This window comes from Homo sapiens, chromosome 3 (genome assembly GCF_000001405.40).
Source record: "Homo sapiens chromosome 3, GRCh38.p14 Primary Assembly".
NCBI lineage: Eukaryota > Metazoa > Chordata > Mammalia > Primates > Hominidae > Homo > Homo sapiens.
The window spans coordinates 117501834-117529002 of NC_000003.12; the positions used below are offsets into that span (position 1 = coordinate 117501834).

A 27169-nucleotide genomic window follows, 5' to 3' on the forward strand; every position below is an offset into this window, starting at 1 on the left:
ACCCGAAAGTATGATACTTTGGCATGCTGAGTATTTTAAACTGAAGGAGACTGGAAGACCTCAGAAGTGAGGTCTTTCTGATCTTCTCCAATCATGTCTCCTACCTCTCTCTCTCCCTGGAAGTGAAACATAGAAATCAGTATTTCTTTTCTCCAAGGCTGGTTACAGAAGCTAGAACTCATCTTCCCCAAAGCATGGCATAAAACCTAGAAAGGTAACTCTCTCCCTTTTCCCTTGAAGACCCTCATTGCAGGTGGTCAGTGCCTCATACCCAGAAGGAAGAAGTGCTACAGAGAGGCCAGAAAGAATCTGATCAGACGGGCCTAGCTGGGTTCACCCTCTTAGTTTATTACCATTAGATATACCCTTTTATCTAATCACATTTCTACATAGCTGTCCATTCTTCATAGAATCTAAGCATAAATGTGGACAGTTTTCCCTGGAATTTGGGTCTTCATTTCTAAAGGCTCTAGTGAGACATAAAATTTTGATTAATAAATTTGTTGTGCTTTTTTGTTGTTAAACTGTGTTTGGTTTATGAGAGTGTTGGATGAGGAACATTCACCCACTTACGATGGGTGAGAAAAAGTATCACACGTTTCTGCCCCTGCAGGACCAAAGTTGTTACAAATATATTTTTAAATCTTAAAAACGGAATAGATTAATCCAGGAAATATCTATTGCTAATGCCAAAAATGGTTCCTTTGGCACCGTGCATGTAATTGTGTGCCAGAACCTGATGAAAGAGAAGTGATTGTTAAGAGAAGGAAGAAGGACTAATCAGAATTGAGTTAAATACTGGGAAAGATAGAAGTCAAGAGATGCTCGTCTAATAAAATGAGCAAAGCAGTTGCATCCAGGTAGCCCCAGTTAGAGTTATATTTTCATGAGAAGTTAGAAGAGTCAGACTAAGGATACAGTTAGACTTGCCCACATTTAAGGTCTGTTTGGTTAATGAGTTAGATTTGTTGACTCCTCCCTTTTCAATTGTTTTCAAAAGAAAGTGGTTAAAAATATATAGTCTGCAAAAATGAAGTATTTGTTCCAACTGAAAAAAACTAAAGCAAATAATTCAGCTTTTTGTTCTATGTATCCACATGCACACAAACACACACATATTAAACACACAAAAAGTGAGAAATTTAGTTTTCAGAATTGCAGAAATGCCTAATAGGAATAACATTCTAAGGACCAGGAAGGCGCAGGATCTATTAAGTTAAAAACACTAACAATAAAAAAATATATAAAAAGGAAACAAAAACTAAAACACCTCAGCTACTTCATTTTGAGTCTTATGGAGGAAAACAACAAACAAAATTAATATTTAAAGTTAAAATTAAAATTTCCAAAATACATTCTTTGGGATGTTTTCAGCAAACAATGTAAAAAAATAAGCTTATTTCCAAATACAAACTTATTTATCATCTAATTCTATTCAATGGCAAATTGGTGTTACTGTTTTATTCGGTTTCACTGAGATTTTCAAGCGTGTTTAGAATTGAAAAGTGTTTTCTGTCTCTTAAGTGTGATGACAAAACATTAACTGATCATTTTTATTCTGTTGACAAGACAATCTACTTCATGGATTTATAAATTGCTCCAAGGCAAAGATAATCATGTAATTTTCTTATCACAGCCAATGTTAATAATTTATTATTAACATTATTTTTAATTTGAATACAAGTGGAAGGCATCCCAAAGAAGGGAATATTGTATAATATTCAGAAAAAAATCTTAACTTCATAAAAAGTGAAAAGTCACTATTCTGTCTTTGGATTTTTTTTTTTTTTTTTTTGAGCTAAAGAAAGATTCAACAGAGCATTTGCTAGCTCATATTCAGTTCCTTTGCTTTCCATTTCAATTAAAGATTTATTTTCTATTTGTCAAGTTTTAAGAAAAATTAACTGGCAGTATGTTGATGAAATGTGTTTCACTAATCATCTACTCTCAGAAACAGTGGAAAATTTTCTTTAATAGGTGATTTATTTTGGTGATACCAACTTTATTCTAATTTTGAAGCTAACTGGACACTCCACTTATGTATTGACATGTTTAACTAATTACATCAAATCACGCTATGCAAGAAAATTAATACACATTCCATTAGTAGGAATGAATACTTACTTAAAGATCAGGCCTGGCCACCTTACAACTCCAAAAGTTTGGGAAGTACACAAGATAAAATTGATATCTTTTTTTTAAAGAAAGGAATGTCAACAGATAAAAACAGATCAAGTAGGTACCAGAATATCATCAAAATGTCACTTAGCAAAAATCTAGTTTCATTGGGAATATTCAATATTGTACAAATCTTCAAATAAAAGATAATTGCTAATCATACAGTGACTTATGAAAACATTTGTTACAGGATTCAATCTAAACAGATTTTATTATATCTATATCTGACAGATATAGTAATGTTAATAAGAGCCAACTGTTGGAAATTGTACTGGATATTACAATATTGTTACACAGAAATGGTTATTGAACAATATTCGTTAAAATGGGAGTTTATACTAGTTGCAATTAACTCCCACCATTGGAAATGCATATTTATTTTAAAATATCCCAAAAATACACACACAAAAACCTTAATGCATACATAAATAAATCTTACTTCTTAGATATTTGAATCATTTTAATTAGCCTTACTTTTGAGAATATTTCATTTTGAGGCCAGAGAATTGAAGTTTGTCCTTAACATTAATCTAACTGCTACTTAAGTGATTCTCATTTAGACTGTAGCTCTTTCAATACAAAGGCCTAACTCCTTTTAAAGTTCTTTCCTAGATCTCCTTCCCTGAATAACATAAATAATGTTGAGTATTTGTTGAATTGTATCTAACAAATATCTGGAATCACACCATCTTCCATTTATAATGAGAAGTTAGGTCTGTCAGATAAAAAACATAATTTTATGCTAAAACAGCAACAAAATAATGTATTTTGACATTTATTTCAGCATATACCAGCTGTGTTTTTTTGAGACACATACAAATGTCCTCCAAAATCGCCATTTATAAATCCAGGTTTTTAAACGAAAATATTTTTTCTTATGAAAGGCATTTGTAAATCTCAAGGAAAGATAAAATGTACTCTAGTCTTTGACAACTTGGTTTGTTGTTATTGGTAGCCTATGGTTAGTTTGTACTTACTAGAGTCCCTTAACGTTGGATATCAGGAACGGATACTCTTATTCAGGAGGAATTGTCTGGTACAAATGGCCAACTGTGTATCTTTAGCTGTCAACACAAAACACTGGCAAAGCATGTGATATAGCAAAGCATGAATATCCCAGTAGATATGGTTATTTATGTTTCTAGAAATAACCAAAACCAGACAATGAGCGCCTGCATTTGTAGACCTAAATGGGAATTTGCTTCCTTATCAGGCGTAGTGATAAAAAAGTCCTGTTGTTTTGTGGGTGTCTTGAATACTGCCTGAGACTGGAATTTGATAGTGGGCACATTACACCTCTATAATCATTTCCGACATCCAGCTATGCCTCTCTGTGAAATAAACCACAAAAATTGGGCACTTTTCTGAAGACAATAATAGTAGCTGAGTTTTCTACAAAATCAGAACATATTTAGTTTTTTCAGTAAAAAGCATAACAGATATAAGGCTTGCTTTGAAAATAAAGCGTTCCACCAGTAGAAGAAATAGATAGCTATCTTGTGCACCCAAAATAGAATTCTGTACACCTTCCTTGGAACATAGATGAGACTACTTTAAAGATGATGGCCCAGTGGAACTTAGCAGTTGATAGGCTAGGACCAACTGCTGAGTTGGTTTAACTGGCACAAACATTGGCATAGAAAGAGCACACTACTATGTATTAAATCAATAAAGCAAGGTAGCAAAGAAATCAGGTCCATCCATAAATGTTCACTCTTTGTAGAATAGTGTCATATAAGTTCCTCGGTGGACTTGAGGTGTTTGAGGTCTGGGAAGCATCCCTAATCCTTCTCCTGCAATCTCCACCCTCCATGCAGCACCAAATCACAGGTGACCCTGGAGTCTGGCAACTTCTCTCCATATGACCTGCCAATATCTTAGTCGAAGATACTGTCATCTCTTGCCTACGATAGTCTTCTTTTTGGTCTCCTTTTGTCTACTGGGCTCAATCTAATTCATCTTGTCCACTAAATCAGAAGATATTTTAAATCACAAACGAAATGATTACTCCTTCATCCTACCACCACCACACCCTTAAATCATTCAATGGCTTTCCATTAGTCTTATGATAAAGACTAAAATCTTTGGAGGAGCCTTGGTGGTACTTTATAGTCTGACTCTGCCTCTCTCTTCATTCTTATCTTAACCCACATACCCTCTGGCTCTCAGGATGGCAGGAATGCCAGGCATCTTTCTGTGACAGAAATGTCCCACATTGTCCATGCTGTTTCCCCTGCTTAGAATGCTTCCTGCCCACCTCCTTTCCCTAGCGAAGTCCTGTTCATTAGCATTTGATCATTCATTTCCTTAGGGAAATCTTTCCCAACCTCCATATTATGTACCGTGCTATGAATTCTTACAGTACTACATTGCCCTCTTTTTGAAAGCATGTAACTCCATTTGAAATAATGAATTCATTAGTGTGATTATTTAATTAATGTCTGCTTTCCTCTTGGACTACACTTTTCATGATAGAAGGAATGTGGCTATTTTTGCCCAGTACTCTGTCCTTGGGACAAGGCAGAAAGTCTGTCACCTAGCACTAGCTCCAGAAATACAGTTGTTGGATGAATGGAAGAATTAACGAATGAGACTCTGGGTCTCTTTCACAGAAGTGAGGATGAACAGTGAGCAAACTATACACAGATTTTTGCCTATCTTTTTAGCCTGTATCAGTGTTTTAAGTAGTTTGCTGGGGTTACCTATTTAATTTGAATACATTAATATTTATGAGGTAAATATAATAAGTATCTCTATTAATCTAAACTGAGTATACCGAACTCTTGATTTTTTTCCTCTCACTATTACCTTTTAGAAGGTCAGCTGGTCTAACCAACTAAGCTCATTTACTATAGCCGATATCTACTATCTTGAGAAAGATGTGGATATTTCTAATGCACATCCAATCACTTGCTGGTGGTATAATGATTTTTGTGTTTATATATCTCTCCTAATTCCAAAATGCCTGTATATTTATTGTGTCATTATCTGAAAATATCCAGTGTGGTAGATGTGTATGGGTATTATCCCCATTTTACTGCTGGAGAAAAGGTAAAACATTTTGGAGGGCAGCTTGTCATATGATACACTGTTTGTTTTTGTGGGGTTTTTGTTTGTTTCTCCCTACCATGCAATCCAACAATGAACTCACAAAGGTTGCTGTACAACAGAACATTTGCCTAGGATATCATCACCTAGCTTTATAGGAATGTGAAGAAGTTGAAGAATTAAGGTAATAGGAAGCAGAACTATCTGCGCTTTTTGGTAGCTTAGGAAAGTAACCAAGGAGCTGACTTACTGTTAAATGAAAGAAAGCCAAGCTGTAGCAATGTGAGTCAAAGTTCTGAGCTAGGGGATCCCAGGAAATAGAGGCCAGTATTGGGAAAATATAGTAAGGGCACATCAATTGTTGATTCTAAGTGTTTAAAATTCATTCTGCCATATTACTAAGCTCTTTTTTCTTTCAAGGAAGAGTCTTATCAGTAGAAATATTAGCCATGCCTTCATAGTCCTTATATCTTACTAATGTGCATCTATTTGCTATCTACTGTTGACAAAAAATGCCAAACCTGGTAAAACATTTAAACAAGTTTATTCTGAGCCTCATATTTGAGTGACCATGGCTCATGACACAGCCTAGGGAGGTCCTGAGAACATGTGCCCAGGTGGTTGGGTTACAGCTTGGTTTTACACATTTTAGAGAGACACAAGTTACAGGCAAAGACATAAGTCAATATGTATATGTATATATTGGTTCAGCCCAGAATGGCAGAATACCTAGAAGCTGGGGGTGGTGGGAAGGAGCTTCCAGGTCATAGGTGGCTTCAAAGATTTCCTGATTGGCAATTGGTAGAAAGAGTTATGCTTTGCAGGAAGAGTTGAAGTCATCATAAAGAAATGCTTGAGTTAAAATACGGGTGATTGTGAAAGCCAAGGTTCTTGTTATATAGAAGAAGCCTCTAATTAACAGGCTTTACAGATAATAGATGGTAAATGTCTCTTACCTGACCTTAAAAGATGTCAGACTCTCTGGAAAAGACCTACCAAGGAAAGGAAAGTTTACTATGTGTCAGGATGTCCTAGTTAGTTTATTTTATTGAATTCTCATTAACAACAACAAAATGAAGAAGAAAGCAGAAGTGAAGCTTTTGAAGCTTAAGCTGCCAGGTCCTTGCTTGTACTGCCTCCTTCACAACCCCAAACCCCCACATTTCCCCAAGAGATGGCTTTGCAGGGCCATTTCAAAATCTGTCAAAGAAAATATATTTTAAGGTAAAATACTTTGATTTCCTTCAGGGCCTGCTTTCCGTCATGTGATGCTATACCAGAGTCAGGTTAGAGCTGAGTATCTTATCACTACAAAGAATCTGTTTTGTCTCTTATGATCTCTATTTTAATGTTAAATCTGGTCAGTTGTGCCCAAACTCCAAAAGGAGGAGAATAGAGTGAGGCAGGTCCATTGCCCCCCTTCACATCATGGCCTGAACCAGTTTTTCATGTTTCTTTGGGATCCCCTTGGCCAAGATGGGTTCTTTCAGTTGACTGGGGGGTATTAGAATCTTATATTTGGTTCACACTGCCATGCAATGTAATGGTTAAAATCATAATTTCTAGGGTTACATGATCAGGGTCCAGAACATTTCTTCATCTGTTCCTAGTTCTTGTTAACTTGAATTCAATGTTTCAGTTTCTTCATCTGTAAAACAGGGATTCTAAGTATAGTTTCAGGAATGAATTCATGTTTTATAGAGTCTGAAGATTAGATTGCATAATAGGGAAGGGTGTCTCTTTATTAAAAAATAAAAATAAATAAAAAAATAAGCATACATACAGCCAGGCGTGGTGGCTCACGCCTGTAATCCCAGCACTTTGGGAGGCCGAGGTGGGTGGATCACGAGGTCAGGAGATCGAGGCCATCCTGGCTAACACAGTGAAACCCCGTCTCTACTAAAAATACAAAAAATTAGCCGGGCGTGGTGGTGGGTGCCTGTAGTCCCAGCTACTCGGGAGGCTGAGGCAGAAGAACGGCGTGAACCCGGGAGGCAGAGCTTGCAGTGAGCTGAGGTCGCGCCACTGCACTCCAGCCTGGGCAACAGAGAGAGACTCCGTCTAAAAAAAAAAAAAAAAAAAAGCATACATACAAAGTGCCCACAGGCGCACAGCTCAGAAACCTCTCTTTCTGGGGTTTGGAAGGAGGCTGTCCAAGCAAGGACCTGGCAGCTTAAGCTTCAAAAGCTTCACTTTTGCTTTCTTCTTCATTTTGTTGTTGTTAATGAGAATTCAATAAAATAAACTATGCAGCACATCCTGACACACAGTAAACACTTCTAAGTACGAGTCTTCATCCTCATTATTACTTTTACTATAACATACAAATGCTTAAAGAGTAAATAATTTCTATTTTTGATTCATAAAATTTTAATTTTATTCTTTTGAGGCTACCTGCTGGAGAGAACTAAAGTTATTAGTGAAAGAGTGGTGCATGTTAAGGAATGAGCTTCTTTGTTCTTTTGTTTACAGAACAAAGTATATCAAGCAGCTACTATGCTCCAGGCAAGGAATAGGGAGGGGAGGGACATACAAATGAAAAATTCAAAACAAATTTAAAGATGCATAATAACAAATGTGTGTGAGTGCCATGGAGCTAATAAGAGGATGCTAGTATAGAGAATAATGGGGAGAGACACTAATTGGCCCAGATGCAGAGAGACACTAATTGGCTCAGATAGTAAAGGGAGACCTGGCTGGAGGAGATAATCATTAAGTGGGAATTTGAATATTATAACAGATCCTGTAATCACCTGACCACTGCACAGACAAAATCAGTTCACTGAGACTGTGGTACTGCAGTAAAGAAAGAGTTTAATTAATGCGAGGCTTGCCATGTGAGAGAACTGGAGTTATCACTCAAATCAGTCTCCCCAAAGGCTGAGAGCTTAGGGTTTCTCAAGAGCAGTGGGCTAGAGAATGGGTGTTGCTGATTGGTTGGGGATGAAATCATAGGTGTGTGGAAAACATCCCTCATGCATTGAGTCTGCCTCTGGATGAGGGGGCACAGGACCAGTTGAGTCATGAGTCACAAGTCCTGTTGGCATCAGTTGGTTGCCAGAAAGCCTAAAAAAAAAAATCTCAAAAGGCTAATCTTAGGTTCCATAATAATGATATTATCTGTGGGAGCATTTAGGGAAGTCACAAATCTTGTGATCTTTGGCCACATGACTCCAAAGCAGTAAGGTATTATGCCTACATCTTAGCAGAATTCAGGCCCCTCCAATTCTCCAATTATCTTAATCTCATGGCCTTTCATTCGTTTTCAGTCCCTGAGCAAGGAGGGTTTTAGTTTTAGGGAGAAACTATTATTATCCTTGCTTCCATGTTACACTATCAACTAAATTCCTCCCATAGTTAGCTTAGCTTATGCCTAGGAAGAAGCAAAGCCCAGCCAGCCTCTGAGGATGGAAGCCACATGGAGTCTGCTGTGTTCAATTCCTCTCACTGCTATTATCTTTGCAAAAGCAGTTTCAATGCCCTGAAGAGACGCTGGGAATAGCATTCCAGACCAAAAAAAAGTCATGTGTGAAGGCTCTACTAGAAAGAACATGACACATTCTAGGAATCTAGGCACCATAAATAGGCCACATGTTACAAGAATGATATGAGAGCCAGTGACTAATTGATCATAAATGCTTTAGTGAGATAAATTCCTAAAGGAACAAATAACAGATTTTGATGGAGTCAAACACCTAAAGCTTGGATTTGCTGCTGGAAAAACATCTTCCTCTATATTACTATGAGCTCTTAGCATAGAATTGCCTTACTTTACCTCTTCTGCTGGCTTATGGAAGCAAGCTTGGAAAAGTCCAGGGCCTAGTGTGCTAATCTCTTTCTGTCTCAGACAGACATATTAAAATGAACTAGATTAAGTAATACCTAATGAGCACCCTTAAGTGTAAAATAATAGTTGCTTTAAAATAATTTTTAAAAAATAAACTATATTGTCAACATTAAATTAAGGGCAGAAAAATGTATTAAAGTTCTAAAACTACAGAATGAATAATTGAAATATTCTAACCTAGAAGAGTAAAAAATTGGTGAATGTCATTAAAGGTTTCTAACAGAAGATCCACTTAGGAAGAGAAGTGGGATACAAATTGCTAGTAAGAAAAGGGAGAGGGGGAATAGAATATACGTATGTTTAAAACTTCCAACATCCTTTTCCTAGCCCCTGATCTATGCAAAATGAAGTCTTACTAAGTCTCAAAACAGTATTCTTTACATTTCATTTTCTTTCTTTTTCAATCATTGTTTTTGAGAAAATCCTAAACCAAAGCAAAAAAGAGAGAATCTGCCAGTGAAGCAGCTGAAGTTTCAGGAAATAACTAAACCATCCCATGCTCACCCCAAAAAGTATTCATTTGACTCTTTTTTTTTCTTTTTTTTTTTTTTGTAAGACAGGTCTTGCTCTGTCACCAAGGCTAGAGTTTGGTGGCAAGATCATACTTCACTGTAACCTGGAACTTCTGGGCCCAGGTGATACTCCTGCCTCAGCCTCCTGAGTACCTAGGACTATAGGCTCATGCCACTGCACCAGGAATTTTATTTATTTATTTATTTTTATTTTTTTAGAGATGTGGTCTTCCTATCTTGCTCACGCTGGTCTCAAACTCCTAGCCTCAAGCAATCCTCCCACCTTGGCCTCAGCCTCCCAACATGTTGGGATTACAGGTGTGAGCTATACCACTCCTGGCCCCTAGGAGCTAATTTCATCTTGATGTGAAGAGTAAAGTTGCTATGTATTTTTGTGGAGGCAGCCAGTTAATGCTTGTTAAACAAACAACAACAACAACAACAAAAAACAATATATACAAAGGCACCTACAGAAAATCTCATTTCAGACATCCCTATCAATATAAATAGTATCACCATGGCAAGCAAGTGCATTGTTCATGTGTGTCCCAGTGTTACTTTGATGATCTATTAAATCATCAAGTATATTTTTGTGCCATATGAAAAATACACATCTTTCCTGTTAACTCTTGCATTCGATCAATTGTAAGATTTACCCAAAAGGGTCTAACTGTCCACAAAATTGTCCCTGCCTTTTATCATTTTTGCTTTCTTTCAGGGTTCATTCTTCCAAGTTGTTAAAGGGTGTCAGTTAGATTGCAACAGAGGTTGCAACTCTCATTAATCCAGGAATCACATAAAAGTATTCTCAATTTCTACCACTGCCTCCAGTTAGAAGCCTTTCTGACTATTGATGCCTGTAACTATGTAAATGTGCGTGATTTAGGGGAATTGCTAACCTGGCCATATCTATCAGGCTGACTTGAGAAAGGGCACTGGAGCTATCTCAATAATGGCATGGTCTGGCTTTAAGGATTAAGGTTACTATTTTTCTGGGGAAGATTTCTCCCTAATGATACAATTCAAAGTGAAATTCTACTTGTTTCTTCATTTAAAATGAGACTAGAGTCTGTCTTTTCATCTCTCATATAGATATAGATATAGATATAGATATATATAAAACAGTTCTTCAATAGATACTGAGTTAAACTACATACATTCCTATCTATCATCATTCCTAGGATGAGAACAACAGTGAAATGGATACTTATATCTCTGCATGATCTGTTTTGACCATGAAAACATGGCCACCTACACAAACCATTTGGTTCTTAATGAGCCATAATATCTGTACTGGGTAAATGAACACAAAAATAGTGGTTTAGAAACAAGCATTTCAAACAGTTGTGTTTGTATTGCCTAAGAGCCTCACAGGGCCTGTAGAGTTTATTATGAACATGTCATAGGTCTTACACTGGGATGAGGCTTTTGTGTTTTTTTTTTTTTTTTTTTTTTGTTTTTTTTTTTGGTGCACGTTTGAACAACAAATGGCATCTTCACAAGTCTCAAAAGCTTTTATGGGCATTTCAGGTCCTAACATTTTCACATACGTTGGTTTGACTGCTGGACAGTAATGTCTTATGCTAAATTAGTAAGGGACAAATTTCAATAGATATTTCATATTATTTTTCTGAAAATTGTAAATTCATAAACATTATTTTCTGGACTTTTCTTTTTCCTCCCTGTGGTCATCACCTACCATTTATCTGATTATGACTCAAAAGGAAACATGTGTGTTGATTTAGACTGCTTCAACATTCCAGTTCCAATCTGAAGCTATCTATCTTCCCAAATGGAATGTTATGCAGACCTCTTGTCCTCCCTCCTGCTTGTTGTGGCAGAGATTTATACTTGTAATTTCCCAGAACATTTGAATTAGAGATGTGAGCCCCGATGCCAACTGTCTACAGGTTGAAGTTATAAAGGTAAAAACTTGGTCCAGCAAATCTTCCTCTCCTTTCACTCCAGGATTCACTTTTCTTAGTGCCCAAGTAATATTTATGAGGCTCTTGTTATTTAGCTGTTGTATTATATTTATGTTAAATACATTTCTAACAAATTCTACTGCATTTACATTTATTATTCAACAAGACATCACAATATGATAGCAGATAATGATGAATCTCCAGATAATTCTTACCGCTAAGTCTTCAGTTGTCTAAAGTCACACACACACACATACACACATACACATACACACATATGCACACACACAGAGTCAGAGTTTGGATTACCAAATGAGAAATAATTCCTTAGTGTGTGCAGTACTTTTTGCTCTCAAATGTTTCTTTTCTTCACACATACTTATTTGACCCATTCAGCTAAAAGCAACATGCATCTTACTAATTCTATAAATGTGTATACTAGAGTTCTTACCTTTTTGAAAGATTAATTAATACAGTCATGGCTAATTATCTGTAACTGGTTATATGAGCAAGGCCATTATACACAGTGAACATTATAAAGATAATCATTTTTCTTTAGCCTCTCAGCACAGGTCAGGATAAAACCGTAATATCCTTCATAAATAGGAACACTGGCCATCACTGGAGAGTAAAATGACCACTGGTCCAGTCTGGTAAATATTCGTTCATGGTTATGCTCTTAAAAAGTGTTTAGGAAATAAGAGAGAAAAAAATAGGAAAAAAATTACAAAAAAAAAAAAACCCAAACACATATAGACTTGAAGAGTTGCTCTCAGATCAAAATATCCTGCAATAATCTGAAGTAGAAAAGTATCATTATGACCTAAGAAGGTTCATGAAAATGTTTCTCATCATAGTAGCTCAGAAGGACTGATTTAGAATGTTGCCCATGGATTTCTGTTTGCTTGCCTGTGTAAATAAATACATGTATAGATGGGGGAGAAATTTGATTTTAACACATAGCCTTAGTGTTCAACTTTAAGTTACATAAGATGGGTCTGGGGACATTATCTTAAATTTGGATTTCTGAAAAATATGTAGGTCTGGCTCTGAAATCTGAGTTTTAATCCATATTCTAAAAATTTGCAAACTAAAGCTTCCTCTTTTTTCTTCACAGAGGCTTAGGCACATCATGTTGAAGGGAGCAATTTGGGAAGGTAGGCAAAGCTATAATCAATCAACCAAGGCTGCTGAAAGTCGGGGTGAATAAATACTCAACGATCAGTCTATCTAATGTACATCAACCCTAACTTATTATAAAAGATCGTTAAACCTTTGAAAGGTCAATGTATATACTGCTATCTATCACAGGCGGGCACCATTCATTATGTCCTGTCAGTGGCTCTCCACTGGCCAACCCTTCAAGGTGTCAAGCCGAGACGCTCAGAGGCCATGTGGTCATGAGGGCCCAAGCTTCCTCCCCAAATATAGTTTTTATTTTCCATCTCATTCTATTGCCTTGCCTTTTTTCTACTTTGGTTTCTCTTCCTGCTTCCCTCAATTTGGAAGTCTCTCATTTCCCCATGAACCACAGACATTCTTCATTAACCAAGTTAAGGGCCATGCCTTTTGGGGGGTTATTCTTTAGCTATTCATGCCTCTGCTTTGTGAATTCCATTTCAACCAATTTTTGTTTTCATTTTTATAAATGGTATTGTTGTTGTTGTTTTGTTTCCTCTCCGCTACGTCCTTTCAGCCATGAAAGATGCATCTTCTACTTTTATATTCCCCTCAATATCATATATAGCAAATGCTTTATAAAAATTATAATAAAGCATATTTTAGGTTTTTTTGTTTGAGGTTGCTTTTTTTTTTTTTTTTTGACAGAGTCTCACTGTGTTGCCCAGGCTGGAGTACAATGCTGCCATCTCGGTTCACTGCAACCTCCATCTCCCAGGTTCAAGCAATTCTCATGCCCCAGCCTCTGGAGTAGATGGGATTACAGGCACACACCACCAAGTTCAGCTAATTTTTTTGTATTTTTAGTAGAGATAGGGTTTCACCATGTTGGGCAGGCTGGTCTCGAACTCCTGACCTCAAATGCCTTGGCCTCCTAAAGTGCCAGGATTACAGGCCTGAGCCACCACACCTGACCATAAAGCAGGTTTCTTAAACAGCAATCTGTAGACCAGCCTTATAGGAATTATCTGAAGTGTGTGTGCAGTATGCACATTTCTGGGCCACACCCTAGACTTGCTGAACAAGAAACTATATTTTTAAGCTAGAAGGGAGACACATATATGCCCTGAAGTTTGAAATCAATTGACCTAGAAACATAGTTTCCCTAAGCAGTCCAAGCATAAGAATCATTTGAGGCAGCTGTAAAAACTACACATTCCAGATCTCCGTCAGATCTTCAGAAGGAAAATCCCTAGAGCAGTAACATGGGAATGAGCCTTTTTCACCCCACTCTGGCTCACTAGATCATTCTAACCATGAGGCAAGGTGATGAAACTTTCTCTAAACTATTAGTAGTGCTTTTCCAAATGGATAAAAGCACATTTTGCAGAATAATGTAATATAATTATTTTCTCAACATTTTGCCTTAATTATAATCAGTTTCATAATTTAAAGCATTCATAGTTTGAGAAATGTAAGCCAAAGAATAATGCATTTGTTTTCTAAATTATTATCCCCTGATTGAGTTAGTAGCCTTGTAGATAAACTGCAATAGCATAAAAATAACAAAATTTGCAGCTGCCAAAATTTATCCTACCTTTGACATTTATGGACTGGTGGGTGTGAGAAAGTTATCAAATCCCTAGGAAATTCAGTTTCCTCTTTAAAAAAAAATGGGGACCATGATACCTAACTTGCAAGAAAATAGATGTAGCACACTACAATGTGAGCCACAATGCTTTATTTATTCAAAACTCTAAAATTCCAGCAAACTGAGGGAAAGTGTGAAAGGTTCATGGGGCTGGCCGTAAGAGCCTTCGTGTACCTCTTGGTTCCTCTGTGCCAGCAAACAGAAGACTTCTCTTCACAAGACCACTTGGTAGCCTATGTGGATTGACTCTGCATTACAGATCTCTGACTTCCATACTGGTTTGTGGCTGCAATAGAGGACTCTTCACGTCTTTCTAACCCTCCTCAATTGTAGAAACATGGAACAGCAACATTCTTAAATGCTCATGTACCTTTATTAAAGTATTATATTTGCAGTGATCATTTAATAAGTAGATAGGCTGAATATTTTATAATCTTTTCTGAGCCAATTGTTTGTGTGTGTTTTGCTGAAAATGACCTTTTTAAAAAATAGCCATAATGTTTATAGAGCATAAAATAATAAAAGGGAAATGAAAACCACCCAATGAAAATCACTATTGCTGCTTTCAAATACATGTTTCATTTTTTTCCTAGAAATATGTATTTTTGTCTTTTTTTAAATGGAAAGATATTACATAGTGATCTTTCCCTAATGTTATATCATGTGCATTTCTACATTCATTCAAATAGTCTTTGAAAAATGATGGCTAATAAATACTTAACATTTCTTACTGTAACAGTTGCGTGATTTGTTTAAGTGCTCTTCTATTATTGGACATTTTGTTTTCTTCTGTTTTACTATTATAAGGAGTTTTAAAATGCTCTCCCAACAGAAAACCTTGATTGCATCTTTAATTACCTTCTTAGAAGTCATTTCTAGAAGTGATATCACTAGGTCAAAAGGAGGAATGTTTCTTAAAGCTCATGATATATATCTCGCAATTACTTCTCAGAAATGTTGCTAATTTAAACTCTATCATTTTCCCTCCTACCCAAGAAGGAATTTCATTATATCCAATATCAAAGCATTAATAAATTTTTAGGTTATTGTTTAATAACCCCTAAAGAAAATTTCATGCTTTAATTTGTATGTTTTTCATTAATATTAAGTTTGCTCTTTTGTCATTTACTTTGTTTCTGTGTTTTCTCCTTGTCCCCTTTTTATAATAAAAAGCCAGTGTTTTCTCAGTGATTTGTAATCACACTGTTTATTTGGAGAGTAAATCCCTAGCTATATTAGTTGAACATGTTTTTCCTAGGCTGAAATTTGCCTTTAAATTTATTTAGTTAAAATATTAATATTTATTTTGATAGACATATTTTTTCTTCTTCTGAACATCTTTTAAACATTTTATTATAAACATTTTTAAACATTCATAAAAGTTGCAAGAATTGTACAGTGAACACCTGATATTTAGGACTTCTATTCTTTAAAAAATATTTTATCATTTTCTTTATAATATAGCTAATCATCTACTGGAAATTTTTATACTTGCTTATAGTCAATTATTTTTCCTTAATCCCACTTCTCTGAATTTAATCAAAAGAAATATTTGCTAAAGTATAAGTTTCATTCCAAGTAAGTTCTTCATCTGCCTTGCCTTCCGATGTACCCCACTATCTGGAACAGGACCTATCGCATTGTAACACTCACTAAATAATTGTTGATTGAATGACTTTTCTCAATGAGGGGAAATTTTTCCTGCTCTAGGAGAATAAAGATGACTCTTTAATATGTTGAGGCCTCAAGACTTTAAAATCTACTCGGTACAAAGAAGCATAGCATACTCTAGAACCAGTAAGAGATAACTGGCTTTTTTAATTAGTATGCTAAGTTTTTCAAAATGTATGCCTTAAAATATGAGAGACATCAAGTATCTTTTATCTACAAATAAGCAAAGAACTTGTGGACAAACTGTCATAGTTTCTGGGTAATGGTTTGCATCTTTTAATGGCAATATCCCATATCTGGGAGAGAATTAGAATTCAAAACATTTTCAATTCCTTCCCGAAAATGATGAGCTAATGTTGAAATGCCTATGAAGACAGAAGAACAAAAGAAAATGTTGCAGGCTAAGGTATCTGACAAGAATGGAGAAAAGTGTGTCACAGATTGTAAAATTTAGCTCATTGAGAAGGGAACAGAAAAATGATGCATGATACTTCAAAAGGGGGAAAAAAGTCTGTCATGAAGCTTCTGAGTCCAGATTGTCTGGATGAGCAGAAATATTAGAAACAAGCTAATCACTGTCTGTCTTTTACTCTCCCAGTTAAAAACAAAAGGGAAAAAGAAGCCACTCGGTATTTCCTACGTGTACTAATGAAAAAAACTTTTATTGTTCCTTTCTCAGGAGTTGTGGAGCAAAGGTAACTTTATCATGTGGTTGCAGTCATAACCACTTGTGAAACTTAAAATAATGATGCCTAGACACTATTGCAGACCAATGAAATCAAAATCTCTAAGGGCTGGGTACGGTGGGAGGGTTGGAGGCATTGATATAAAATTTCTGCAAGTCATCCTAGTGTACAGTTATGAAAGCAAAACATTGGAAGAAATAGTGCAGCAAGGAAGGCATGGACTAGTCAACCTTGCAGAGTGTTCAGTTCTGTTCCAGAATTTTGTTCGTATACAACCATCATTCAAATGGGAGCAAAGAGAAGAAAACGCTTTCCAAATATTTCTGATTTCTGCTAATTCTCACCCAAATGTCAGGTTCATGCATCATTTTTTGTGGAAAAGGGTAAGGGAGGTGTTCATGATGAGTCAGGTTTTTCCTTTGTATGTTAAACACTGCATAGGTTAAGCTGATACGAGTTTAAGGAATACTTTATTTACATGAAACAAAATAAAGCAAAAACAGGAATAAAGCACCTAGACCAGGCTCTAGAGCGTTTTGGTCCCTAACTTTTCTGCTGTTGATGTTCTGCAATATAAATGAAATCAAGTATTTGGAGCTGTCCTGAAAGAACAGATTCTAGTTAAGGGGGCAATGAGGGAGAGCATTCTTCTATAAATTGACTTTCTAAATATATCATGTTTTTCATAAGCACTTCATAAATCTTGACACATTTCTTTGAAAGTATATTATCACCACTTTATAGGCAAGGAAATTGTTTTGGAAAGCAGAGCTGGGATTTGAACTAGCATTGCCTGATCCTAGTGCCTTATGCTCTTATAATTACTGTTTTCCACATTTACTTAACCTTTTATCAATTTTTGACATTTAGAGCATTTCTCATTTCCAACAATTATAAAATTGTTGGATGGTTTCATGTCTGTATTTTCTTCCCCATGTTTGGAGTTACTTCTTTGGAACAGAATCTCAGAAGTTATTCGAGACTGTGACAAGGTTTATGTTTTTTTTTTTTTACATATTGCCAAATTGCTTGCAAAGGAGTTGTACAAAATTACAATGCATCCAGAAAGGTATGATAGCTAGGTCTCAAGAATATTTAATTATTTTCAATTTAATAGGCAAAAATATATATATTTTATCTCATTTCTTAATTTTCATTTGGTTTATCGGTGAATCAGGGCATTTCCGTGTGGTAAGTTGGTTTGCTTTGTCCATTTATCTATTGGAATCTTCATTTATGATCTTTGATATGACTTGATTTGTAGAATTCTTGACAGTTGTAATGTATGTTTTTTGTGGCATTATGTTCAATGCCTGTCTCTCCAGATACACAGTAAGGCACCTGAGAACAGATCTTGTACCTGTTTGGTTTATTTTTGCTTTCTGGTACCTCATACTGTGCCTGGCACATAATATGTGCTAAAGCTATACATGATCAGAAAGACATATTTCTTTCCCCATATATGGGAGAACAATACACTGGATTTTTTTATAGTGTTGATTTTATGGTTGTTTTGAGTGGTTTAGGGCAGTACCAAGGCTAGTCAGTAACCTTCACAAAGCCATTCATTCGTAAATGAAATTGTCACTGAGGAGTCATAAAATTTAAAAGGCAATTTGAATGAAATGGGAATAATGTAGAAAATCTTCAGGGAAGAGGTGAGATCTCTTTACTGATAAGACCTTTTCAAATGAAGAAAATAGTTTTGTGGTATCTTCCCTGTTGGGGGTTCTGCTGATAACCTTTTATAGGACCAAGTGGAACAACCCATATTAAGTAGGCTGTAGTGGACTCCTAATTAGTCCAATTAATGTGATGGCTTTAATTTGTAAGAGATCTAATGGTGTAGAATCTGATTTCTTTGAAATCACTCCTCTCTAGAATGTAAAACAACAATGAAAGGCAGCTAAAGCAGTCCTGGAGTGGCTAAGTACTGCATTTAGTTATTGTATTTCCCACCCCTTCCCTCCTTAAAGAGAAAATAAAAGGTATTTCTTCCTCCATATTATTCCCCCTGGCATGCTGCCTTTGTTAGGACAACAGCAGCCAAGAGCAGATTTGAAATGACTCCTCGGCATTTTCTTAAGATGAGTCCAGTGGAGGCTCTTCAATTAGTAGTGGTCATGTGTGCCGGGGTCAATATTCCAGAATACTTAAGTTTTTGCTCTTTTCTGCAGAAATAAACATTATTATTGTTGTTGTTATTAAAATCCAAAAGGAAACTATAATGTCTGAGGCAAACTGTTCTTGTCACAGCCTGCTATTCCCATGAGCCGAGAAGCATCACAATACATTGCCTGCTGTCTCAACCCATGGAAAGTCTGATTAGCTCTCTAGCAATCTGATCTCCAGAAATCGCCCTTTCCTTACTATCTCAACACCCTTTCATGGAAAACAGTATGCGTGCTTCTCTGTTCAGACTCCACTGTAAAATTTTTAAGCCAATTCCCATGGGATTCTGATGGTTTTTATGTAAGTAAAGGAACCAAAGATTTTCAATGAGAACTATTGAGCCCGACAAAGGCTTACTGATTTATGTAGTTACCACCTGAAGTAAGAAAGCCACTTTGATATTTAAAAACCATTCTAGGCCGGGTGCAGTGGTTCACGCCTGTAATCCCAGTATTTTGAGAGGCCGAGGTGGGCGGATCACGAGGTCAAGAGATTGAGACTATCCTGGCCAACATGGTGAAACCCCGTCTCTACTAAAAATACAAAAGTTAGCTGGTCATGGTGGCACGCGTCTGTAGTCCTAGCTACTTGGGAGGCTGAGGCAGGAGAATCGCATGAACCTGGGAGGCAGAGGCTGCAGTGAGCCCAGATTGTGCCACTGCACTCCAGCCTGGCAACAAGAGCGAGTCTCTGTCACAAAAAAATAAACAAATAAAAATAAAAGTAAACAAAAACTATTCTAAATTAAGTGGCTGGCCTTCCTTCCTTCTTTCTTTTCTTCCTTCCACTGTCTTTAGCATATGTTTTGGACAACTTCATGTAAATAAAATGGAAGCACAATTGGGAGCCACCATAATAACGTCAGTAATCTGGCAGGAAATTTTCTACATTAGTGATTAATAAACAATGTATTTTTAATGCCCAAAGTTGCATTTGGCACAAGTGTTTGTTCAGTGTTTCTAAAACAATTATTAAAACTAATTTTAATCATTTAGAACTTTGCTGGTTAATATAGTAGCTACTAGTCACATGTGGCTATGTAGCATTTGTGACTAGCCCAAACTAAGTTGTGCTGTCAGTATAAAATACACACTGGCTCTTGATGACTTGTTATTAAAAACATGTAAAATATCTCATTAGTATTCATGTTTATTGCATGTTGAAAGGATAATAGTTTATATACATAATTAAAACATCTTATGAAATTCATTTCACCCATTTTGCTGCTTCTTTAAAAATGTGACTTCTAGAAAATTTAAAATTACATATGTGAAATTGTATTATGTTTATATTGGATAGCACAAGATAGATATATTTAGGCTCTAGCCCTGCTGGAGTTCCCCACTAACAGGATGATCACAATTCTCTATCCAGCAGCACAATGTGAGTGGAATTATGCAGGTAAACGTGTGCTAGTCAGTTACAGAGCTAGACCTCAAGGGGAGCAGATCATAGCCTAAGGAAGTAGACCTCTCAATTCCCACTGCCTGCATGTCCCAGACTTAGAACGTTATCATCCCTACCATCGCAAACATGGTTGGGATGATCTGGTCCCAGTTGATCTGGTCATAGTCTGAGCCTCAACCCTTCAATCTTTAATCTGCACTCTGTGACCAATAAAAATTTTAGAATTCTCAAGCAAGAACTTGAATACTATTTTTGGCATTTTTAAAACAAAAATCTGTAATGGTTATTAATTGATGTAGGCATGGTTGAATAGACAGTTTTCTTTGAAAACCTTTGCCATTGAGCAAATAAATACTTAAACCAAATTTCATCAAAGTGCAGTCCTGCTGTAGCAGAATCAAATGCAATAGTTGTTTAAAATGCAGATTTCAGAGCCCCACCACCAATAATGATAATTTAGTAGGTCTAGACCAGGGAACAGAATCTGAGTTTAAACAGCATCATTCTAGTTATTCTCATGCAGTCTAAAATGTGGGAACCATCACTTGAAGCTATAGTTGTTTTCCTTTAATTGTTCTATTTTAAATAAGTACATTATATAGCAAATATACTGTCATATCATTATCCTATAAATTTAGAGGTTAGGGGTATCTACCCAGGAATATTTGGTTTCTCTATTACTTCATTGTGAGAACCTGAACACAATTTACTGTCACAGTTTCCCAACAAATCTAAAAATTTACTGGTGATATTATTTATACTTCTAAAGTTATTTAATAAAAAATATTTAATTAACATCTTATTCTATTATTTGATTATATTCCTAAAATGTAAACTTCTATGATAGTTCATACAGTTACAAATATCCAGCTTGTAAAGAACATATTAGAAAGACTCATTTTTGTTGATGGGGAGGGAATCCCAAGAATTTGCCATTCCCTGGAAATATATTCACCAGGAATTTCCTAGAATTTATGAAATTATACCACATAAATTTCCACCCATGTCTACCCACTGGTAAACTGAGGAGAGAGAAAAATCAGTGATTATTTGTGGATTAAAAATGAGATACATCAGACAGCAACATGTCCTAGGTATCAAAACAAATCAGAGAGTATTAACCTGGAGTCGTGTCATGTAACACAGAGGAAAAAACAGTGCATCATGTTTCAAAGCCTGGATTCTTGTTTGGAGTCATCCACTAACAGTGATGTGGGCATCTGTTTCCTCATCTGAAATTTAAGACTGTGAGACAAGATGATACAGAGACATCCTCTCAGTTCTGACAGTCTGTGTTTTTCATCCACACTTGCAGTGATATAGACCTATCAGGAGGGACGACTGGAATCCTGACTAGATTGAGTTAGATTTAGAGCATCTCAGAGATAAGCCTGCGTGTGGTCTCCTTACAGGATAGCAAAAAATATTGCAGGGCACGCACATAGGCAGGAGTGTGAGGTTTCTAGAATGTCATGGCTGCTGCAGGATAAGGTTGAATTGTGGGTCCTGGAAAGAGGTGACCAGGGAGCTCAGCTGTGACTGAGGATGAGGTGATTAGGGGACAGTTTCTGAGTCAGGCTGCCTGAGGCAGGGGAGAGGGCCTGAGGGCAGGGTCACTTCCTGGAGCATTACCAGTCCTGAGCATCACCACTTAAACATCAGAGAGAAAGGAAGAAAGGCGATAGGTAAGTGACACTTCCCGATATCGCCTTGGGAGAATGGCTTTTGCTTTATTTTTCTTTTCTTTTATTATTTTCAAAAGAAAACATCAGGAAAGCTAGTCAAGCCAGCTGCCTTTTGAGTAAACAAAGAACCAGAGTTCAGGGAGCAAGGGTGGCAGTAAAGATGGATAAGTCAGAGGGTAGGTGTTTTTCTCTCAACATGAATTGTGAGAAGTTTCTCAAAACTTACATTATAAATAAATGATAGTACTAACATTTTTTTCTTTTTTCTTTCTTTTCTATTGACTGACCATGACACTTCTGTCTCACAATTCCTCACCATTTTGCCATGAGGTTTTCTCCTTCCCCTTGCCTAGGTTCAGAATAAAAGATGCCTATATATTAGGTCCCGCCAGAAAAAAAGGCAAGAACTCACGTGTTAGTAAAACATTTAATAAACCTCAGCACACACTTGGCCAAATTCCTGGAAGATCAGAGCTGCATCCCTGAAATTTCTTTTTATCTTGATCCAGTTAACTGCCTGTTTAGAGTAAATGATGTGCTCCCACGTTCTTTATACTGTCCTCCCCATATAAGCATATACACGAGAGGATTATACCTGCTCTCCGGAAGCTTATAATTCAGACGTTATTACCCCTTTTGGAAGTATTCTCTGGGAAGCTCTTTTCACTAATGTTCAATTTCAACAATAGTATTACTATAATAGCTAAGTTTCATTTAGTGCTTAGTGTGTTCTAAGCACTCTCAAAAGTGCTTCATATATATTTAATCATTAACTCTTACCATAACTCTATGCCCTAGGTAATATTATTGTCCCCATTTTACAAATAAGAAAACAAGCACCAAGAGATGTTAGGTGAACTTGCCTAGAGTTACACAAAGAATAAGTGACTGAGCCACTCATTGAAATGCTGCTCTTGCAAGAAAACATAAAATTGTATGATGGTGCCACATAACACATACTTGACACGGGCTTTGAAGGCAGAGAAGCCTGGGTTCAAATAAAATTCAGCCACATACTAGCTGCATGATTCTAGGACAAGTTACAGAACCTGAGGCCATCAGTTATCATCTGTCAAAATGGAGTGAATACTTATAAAGGTTACATGAGGGTCAAAAATAATGTATAAAAGGAGCCTGGTACATAGTTGTCATTCAAAGAGAGCTGCTGATGTTATTAACATTAGTTGACTATGTAATATTACTTAAAACTCTTACTTCCTATTTTTCTTCCTACTGCAATAAAGTTTCTGCCATTTCTTCTCTCTGTGTGAAGTTTTTCTTCTTCCTCGGTCTGTAGCTGGAATGTGCCTTTCTGTGCCAAGCCCACTGACTCATGGTGATATAGCCCACAGAGCAGGGTGCAAGCAATAGAAGGGCCATACCAGGCCACAACATATGTCTCAGATTCCCAGGACAAGCTTTGTTCACGGCATGGAAGAATGGCTGGTTAACTTAATCCCAGGGTTGCATTCTCCGTAATGATACATCTCAGGCCATCGATCCATGGCTTTATTTTCAAGCTTGTTTAAGCAGGAGCTATAAAAAACAGAGCATCATGCACGTGCAATATGGAATTAAGCCTCACACTCTTACCACTCTAATTCTCTTAGATACCTATTTGTTTGTCTTGATTTTAGAAAGCAGAATTCAGTAAAGAAACAAATTGGGGAATATTTTTTAGGGTTATAATCTTCCACGTAATGATATAAACGATTCTGTGTAGAATTGCTATCTTGCTGGTGAGTTGTTTTCTGAAATAATGTGCCCAAAACAGAAATCAGCATTGTTTTTTTGAGGCAATTCACTGTGGCATTGTGGCTGCTGTGAATGTTCTAGAAATTGTAAAATACGCTTTTGCAAACGTAGAGATGGTTTTAGTTTTCTTATATCAATAAGCAGTAGGATTAAATGTAACAGGCTTACGAGAAATGAGGGAAATATTCAATGCATTTTGCGATAAAGAGCAAAGGAAGCTCAAAGCTCCTTCAGCCATAACGACATCCTTGTTTCTTCTTCCTTTTCCTTTCCCAGTGTGTGTATGAAAACCAGGAAACAAGGGAGAATCAAGTGCTGGGTTGGGTGAGGTTAAGAGAATCGGGTTCTCTTCACATTTACCTTGGACTTTTCAGGAACTTTCCTATAATTCATTTAAGCTCAATAAGTTCTATTATCTTCTTTGGTAGAGCTTGTTGGGGGGACTATAGTAATCCTGCCAAGAAAATGTTATCTTGTTCCTCAAATAACAAAAAAGTGATTTGTATAAAAGCAAGGTTCATAATGTAAAATCTAAGTATATTTGAAAGAAAAAATTTCTAAAATATTTGAGTCTCGAGTAAATTCCTTGAGCTTCACACCATACAACTTAGTTCTTGGTAAATTAAAAGTAGGGCTTCTAGTGATTTGCATAAAAACTCTCAAGAGGAGGACCTCAGATACATGGCTTATCAAACTGGCACTTCATAGAGTCTGGGCCATATCAGATCCTTGAATGCTTGCTTCTTAATAGTAACTCCTATATAGTTTCTAAGGGGTTTCGGCTGTCTATATTATGAGGAGTGCATGTTTTTAAGAGCTTTACAGGGGTCAGGAGAATTGGCTTCTCTCTCTTCATTTGCATTTAACGTTCTAAAAGTTCTTAAGCTGGAAATGATCTGAGAACTCTCTCTGGGAATCTATTTCTTAGTTTCTAAATAATCAAACCTATCATCAGTCAATGCACTGTTTTATCTTCCTTCAGGCAAGTTTAAAATATGTACATATATATGTTATAGAAGCTGTTTTTTTTTCAAACCTCATTTTATGAGCCAATATGTTTGTTTCCCAAAGAAAAAAAATGTTTGTTTTCATGATTTTGGCAGAAACAAATGTTTTCTTTGGGGCTGTTCAAATAGTCATATTTTCAAGTTTTCTTGCTTCTTTCTATTGGGGGGAGCACCCCCTGGTGGAATACCATGAAAATGTTTGCCACGTGTTTTGACTCTAATATTCAACAGACAGATGTGTTTTGCAAATATTACTTTTACACAAAGCACACTCAGAACCATTTTGCCAATGTTAATGTCTTGGAAAATTCCATGCCTTCTTTCTAATTATCACCACAGTATTCAGAATGGGCTCCCTTGTTTTAGGTGTTACACAGTTGTGGTCAGAGATGCTGCAGCAGTCTCTGTGGGTCAGAAATGAGTCGGGAAGGGCACTCTGGCATTATGTTCCTACTTGTGGGAAAAAAGGGACCCTTTTCTCCTTTCCCTCAGTTCTTCCTTCTTTCCTTCCATTTCTTCCTGCTACTACAAACAAAATGGCATTTGTTGGAGGGTCTGACTGGGTGAGAAAACAGTCGGCCATGACAGTGCCCAGTTATAGGTAAAGCCTAAGGTACATCTCTTTCCAGAGTAACGTCCCTGTCACTGCAAGCTGGGGGAGATTAACAGAAAGGGAATTTGCTGGGAGATATTCTTAATCCCCCATATCCCCCCAAATATAAATTTAAATTAGTACTAAAAACATATCAGATTAATCAATAAGCCTGTAATTTCTGTATCTTATAGAGAAAAAAGTATCATCCCCAAGGTAACTGGAAAGGATGGGGCACTATTGTTTATCATTGCTGTTGTGTGCTGAATTGTGTCTCCCCTCCTCATAATTCATATGTTGCAGCTCTAACTTTCAGCAACTCAGAATGTGCCTTTATTTGGAAACAGGGTTTTGCAGACGTAATTAGTTAAGATGAGGGTATGCTGGGGTAGGGTGACCAATGTGACTGGTGTCCTTATAAAAAAGGGAAATTTGGACACAGACAAACACACAGAGAACAGTATGTGAACATGAAGGCAGAGATTGCAGTAATACATCTACAAACCACATTTCTAAGAAGAGACCAATCCTACCAAGACCTTGATTTTGAACTTGTAGCCTCCAGAGTTTTCAGACGATACATTACTGTTATGTAAGCCACTCAGTTTGTGGTACTTGGTTACAACAATCCTAGCAAATGAACCTTCCTCTGAACTCAAGTGGTGGTCCCTTCCCACACATAACCTTTCTGAGTAGAGACCAGTTTTTGTAGCTGCTGTTGTTTTAAAGTAAGGACTGAAACAGTTTACTGCCTCCATCAACTATTGCATCATGTTATGCAGCCTGTATTTTCTTAAGAATGAAAATAACGTTTTCTTTATAAAAGCAAGCCAAAATGGACTATAAATTATATAGATGTTTCTTGGCTCACAGAGAACTATAATTCATCTGGAACCAAGTAGGAATGGATCTCCATATTTTTAAATTTTTATATTTTTAAATTTTGTGGGTACATAGTAGGTGTATATATATATATGTGGGGTACATGAGATATGTTGATACAGGCATACAATGTATAATAATCACATCAGCATAAATGGAGTCTCTATCATGTTAAGCATTTATCCTTTCTTTGTGTTACAAACAATCCAATTATACATTTAGTTATTGTTCAATGTACAATAAATTATTATTGACTGTAGTTACCCCGTTGTGCTATCAAATACTAGATCCTAGTCATCCTATTTAACTATATTCTTGTATACATTAACCATCTCTACTTCCCCATCACCTCACTACCCTTCCCAGCCTCTAGTAACCATCCTTCTACTCTCCATCTCCAGGAGTTTAATTGTTTTAACGTTTAGCTCCCACAGATAAATGAGAAAATACAAAGTTTGTCTTTCTGTGCCTTGCTCATTTCACTTAACATAATGACCTCCAGTTCCATCCATGTTGCTGCAAATGACAGGATCTCATTCTTTTTTATGGCTGAATAGTACTCCACTGTGTATATGTACCACATTTTTAAAAATCCATTCATCTGTTGATGGGCACTTAGATTGCTTCAAATTATTGGTTGTTCTGCATAGTGCTGTAATAAACATGGGATTACAGACAGCTCTTTGATTCACTGATTTTCTTTCTTTTGGATATATACCTAGCCATGGGATTGCTGGACCCTATGGTAGTTCTATTGTAAGTTTTCTGAGGAAACTCCAAACTGTTCTCCATAGTGGTTGTACTAATTTACATTCCCACCAACAGTGTACAAAGGTTCCCTTTTCTCCACATCATTGCCAGCATTTGTTATTGCTCATCTTTTGAATAAAACAAGTTTTAACTTGTTTTATTCAAAAGAGGTAAGATCATGTCTCATTGTGGTATTGATTTGCATTTCTCTGATGATGAATGATATCGAGCACCTTTTCATATACCTGTTTGGCATTTGTATGTCTTCTTTTGAGAAAGTCT

General features: G+C 36.5%; 1 long non-coding RNA gene across 2 annotated transcripts in view; it reads left to right on the forward strand.

The window, feature by feature from the left end:
- Positions 1–27169, forward strand: part of LOC105374056 (uncharacterized) — a 56435-nt gene that overhangs the window by 18513 nt on the left and 10753 nt on the right. Inside the window, exons 1-3 of one of the 2 annotated variants that reach the window (XR_007096021.1) lie at positions 1–11510; positions 12628–12667; positions 13338–13373. The exon at positions 1–11510 is cut by the window's left edge and continues 18513 nt beyond it. This is a non-coding gene — a long non-coding RNA (uncharacterized LOC105374056). Of the gene's footprint in view, positions 11511–12627; positions 12668–13337; positions 13374–27169 lie in introns of those variants that run through there. The other variant, XR_924361.3, reaches the window with a different exon arrangement.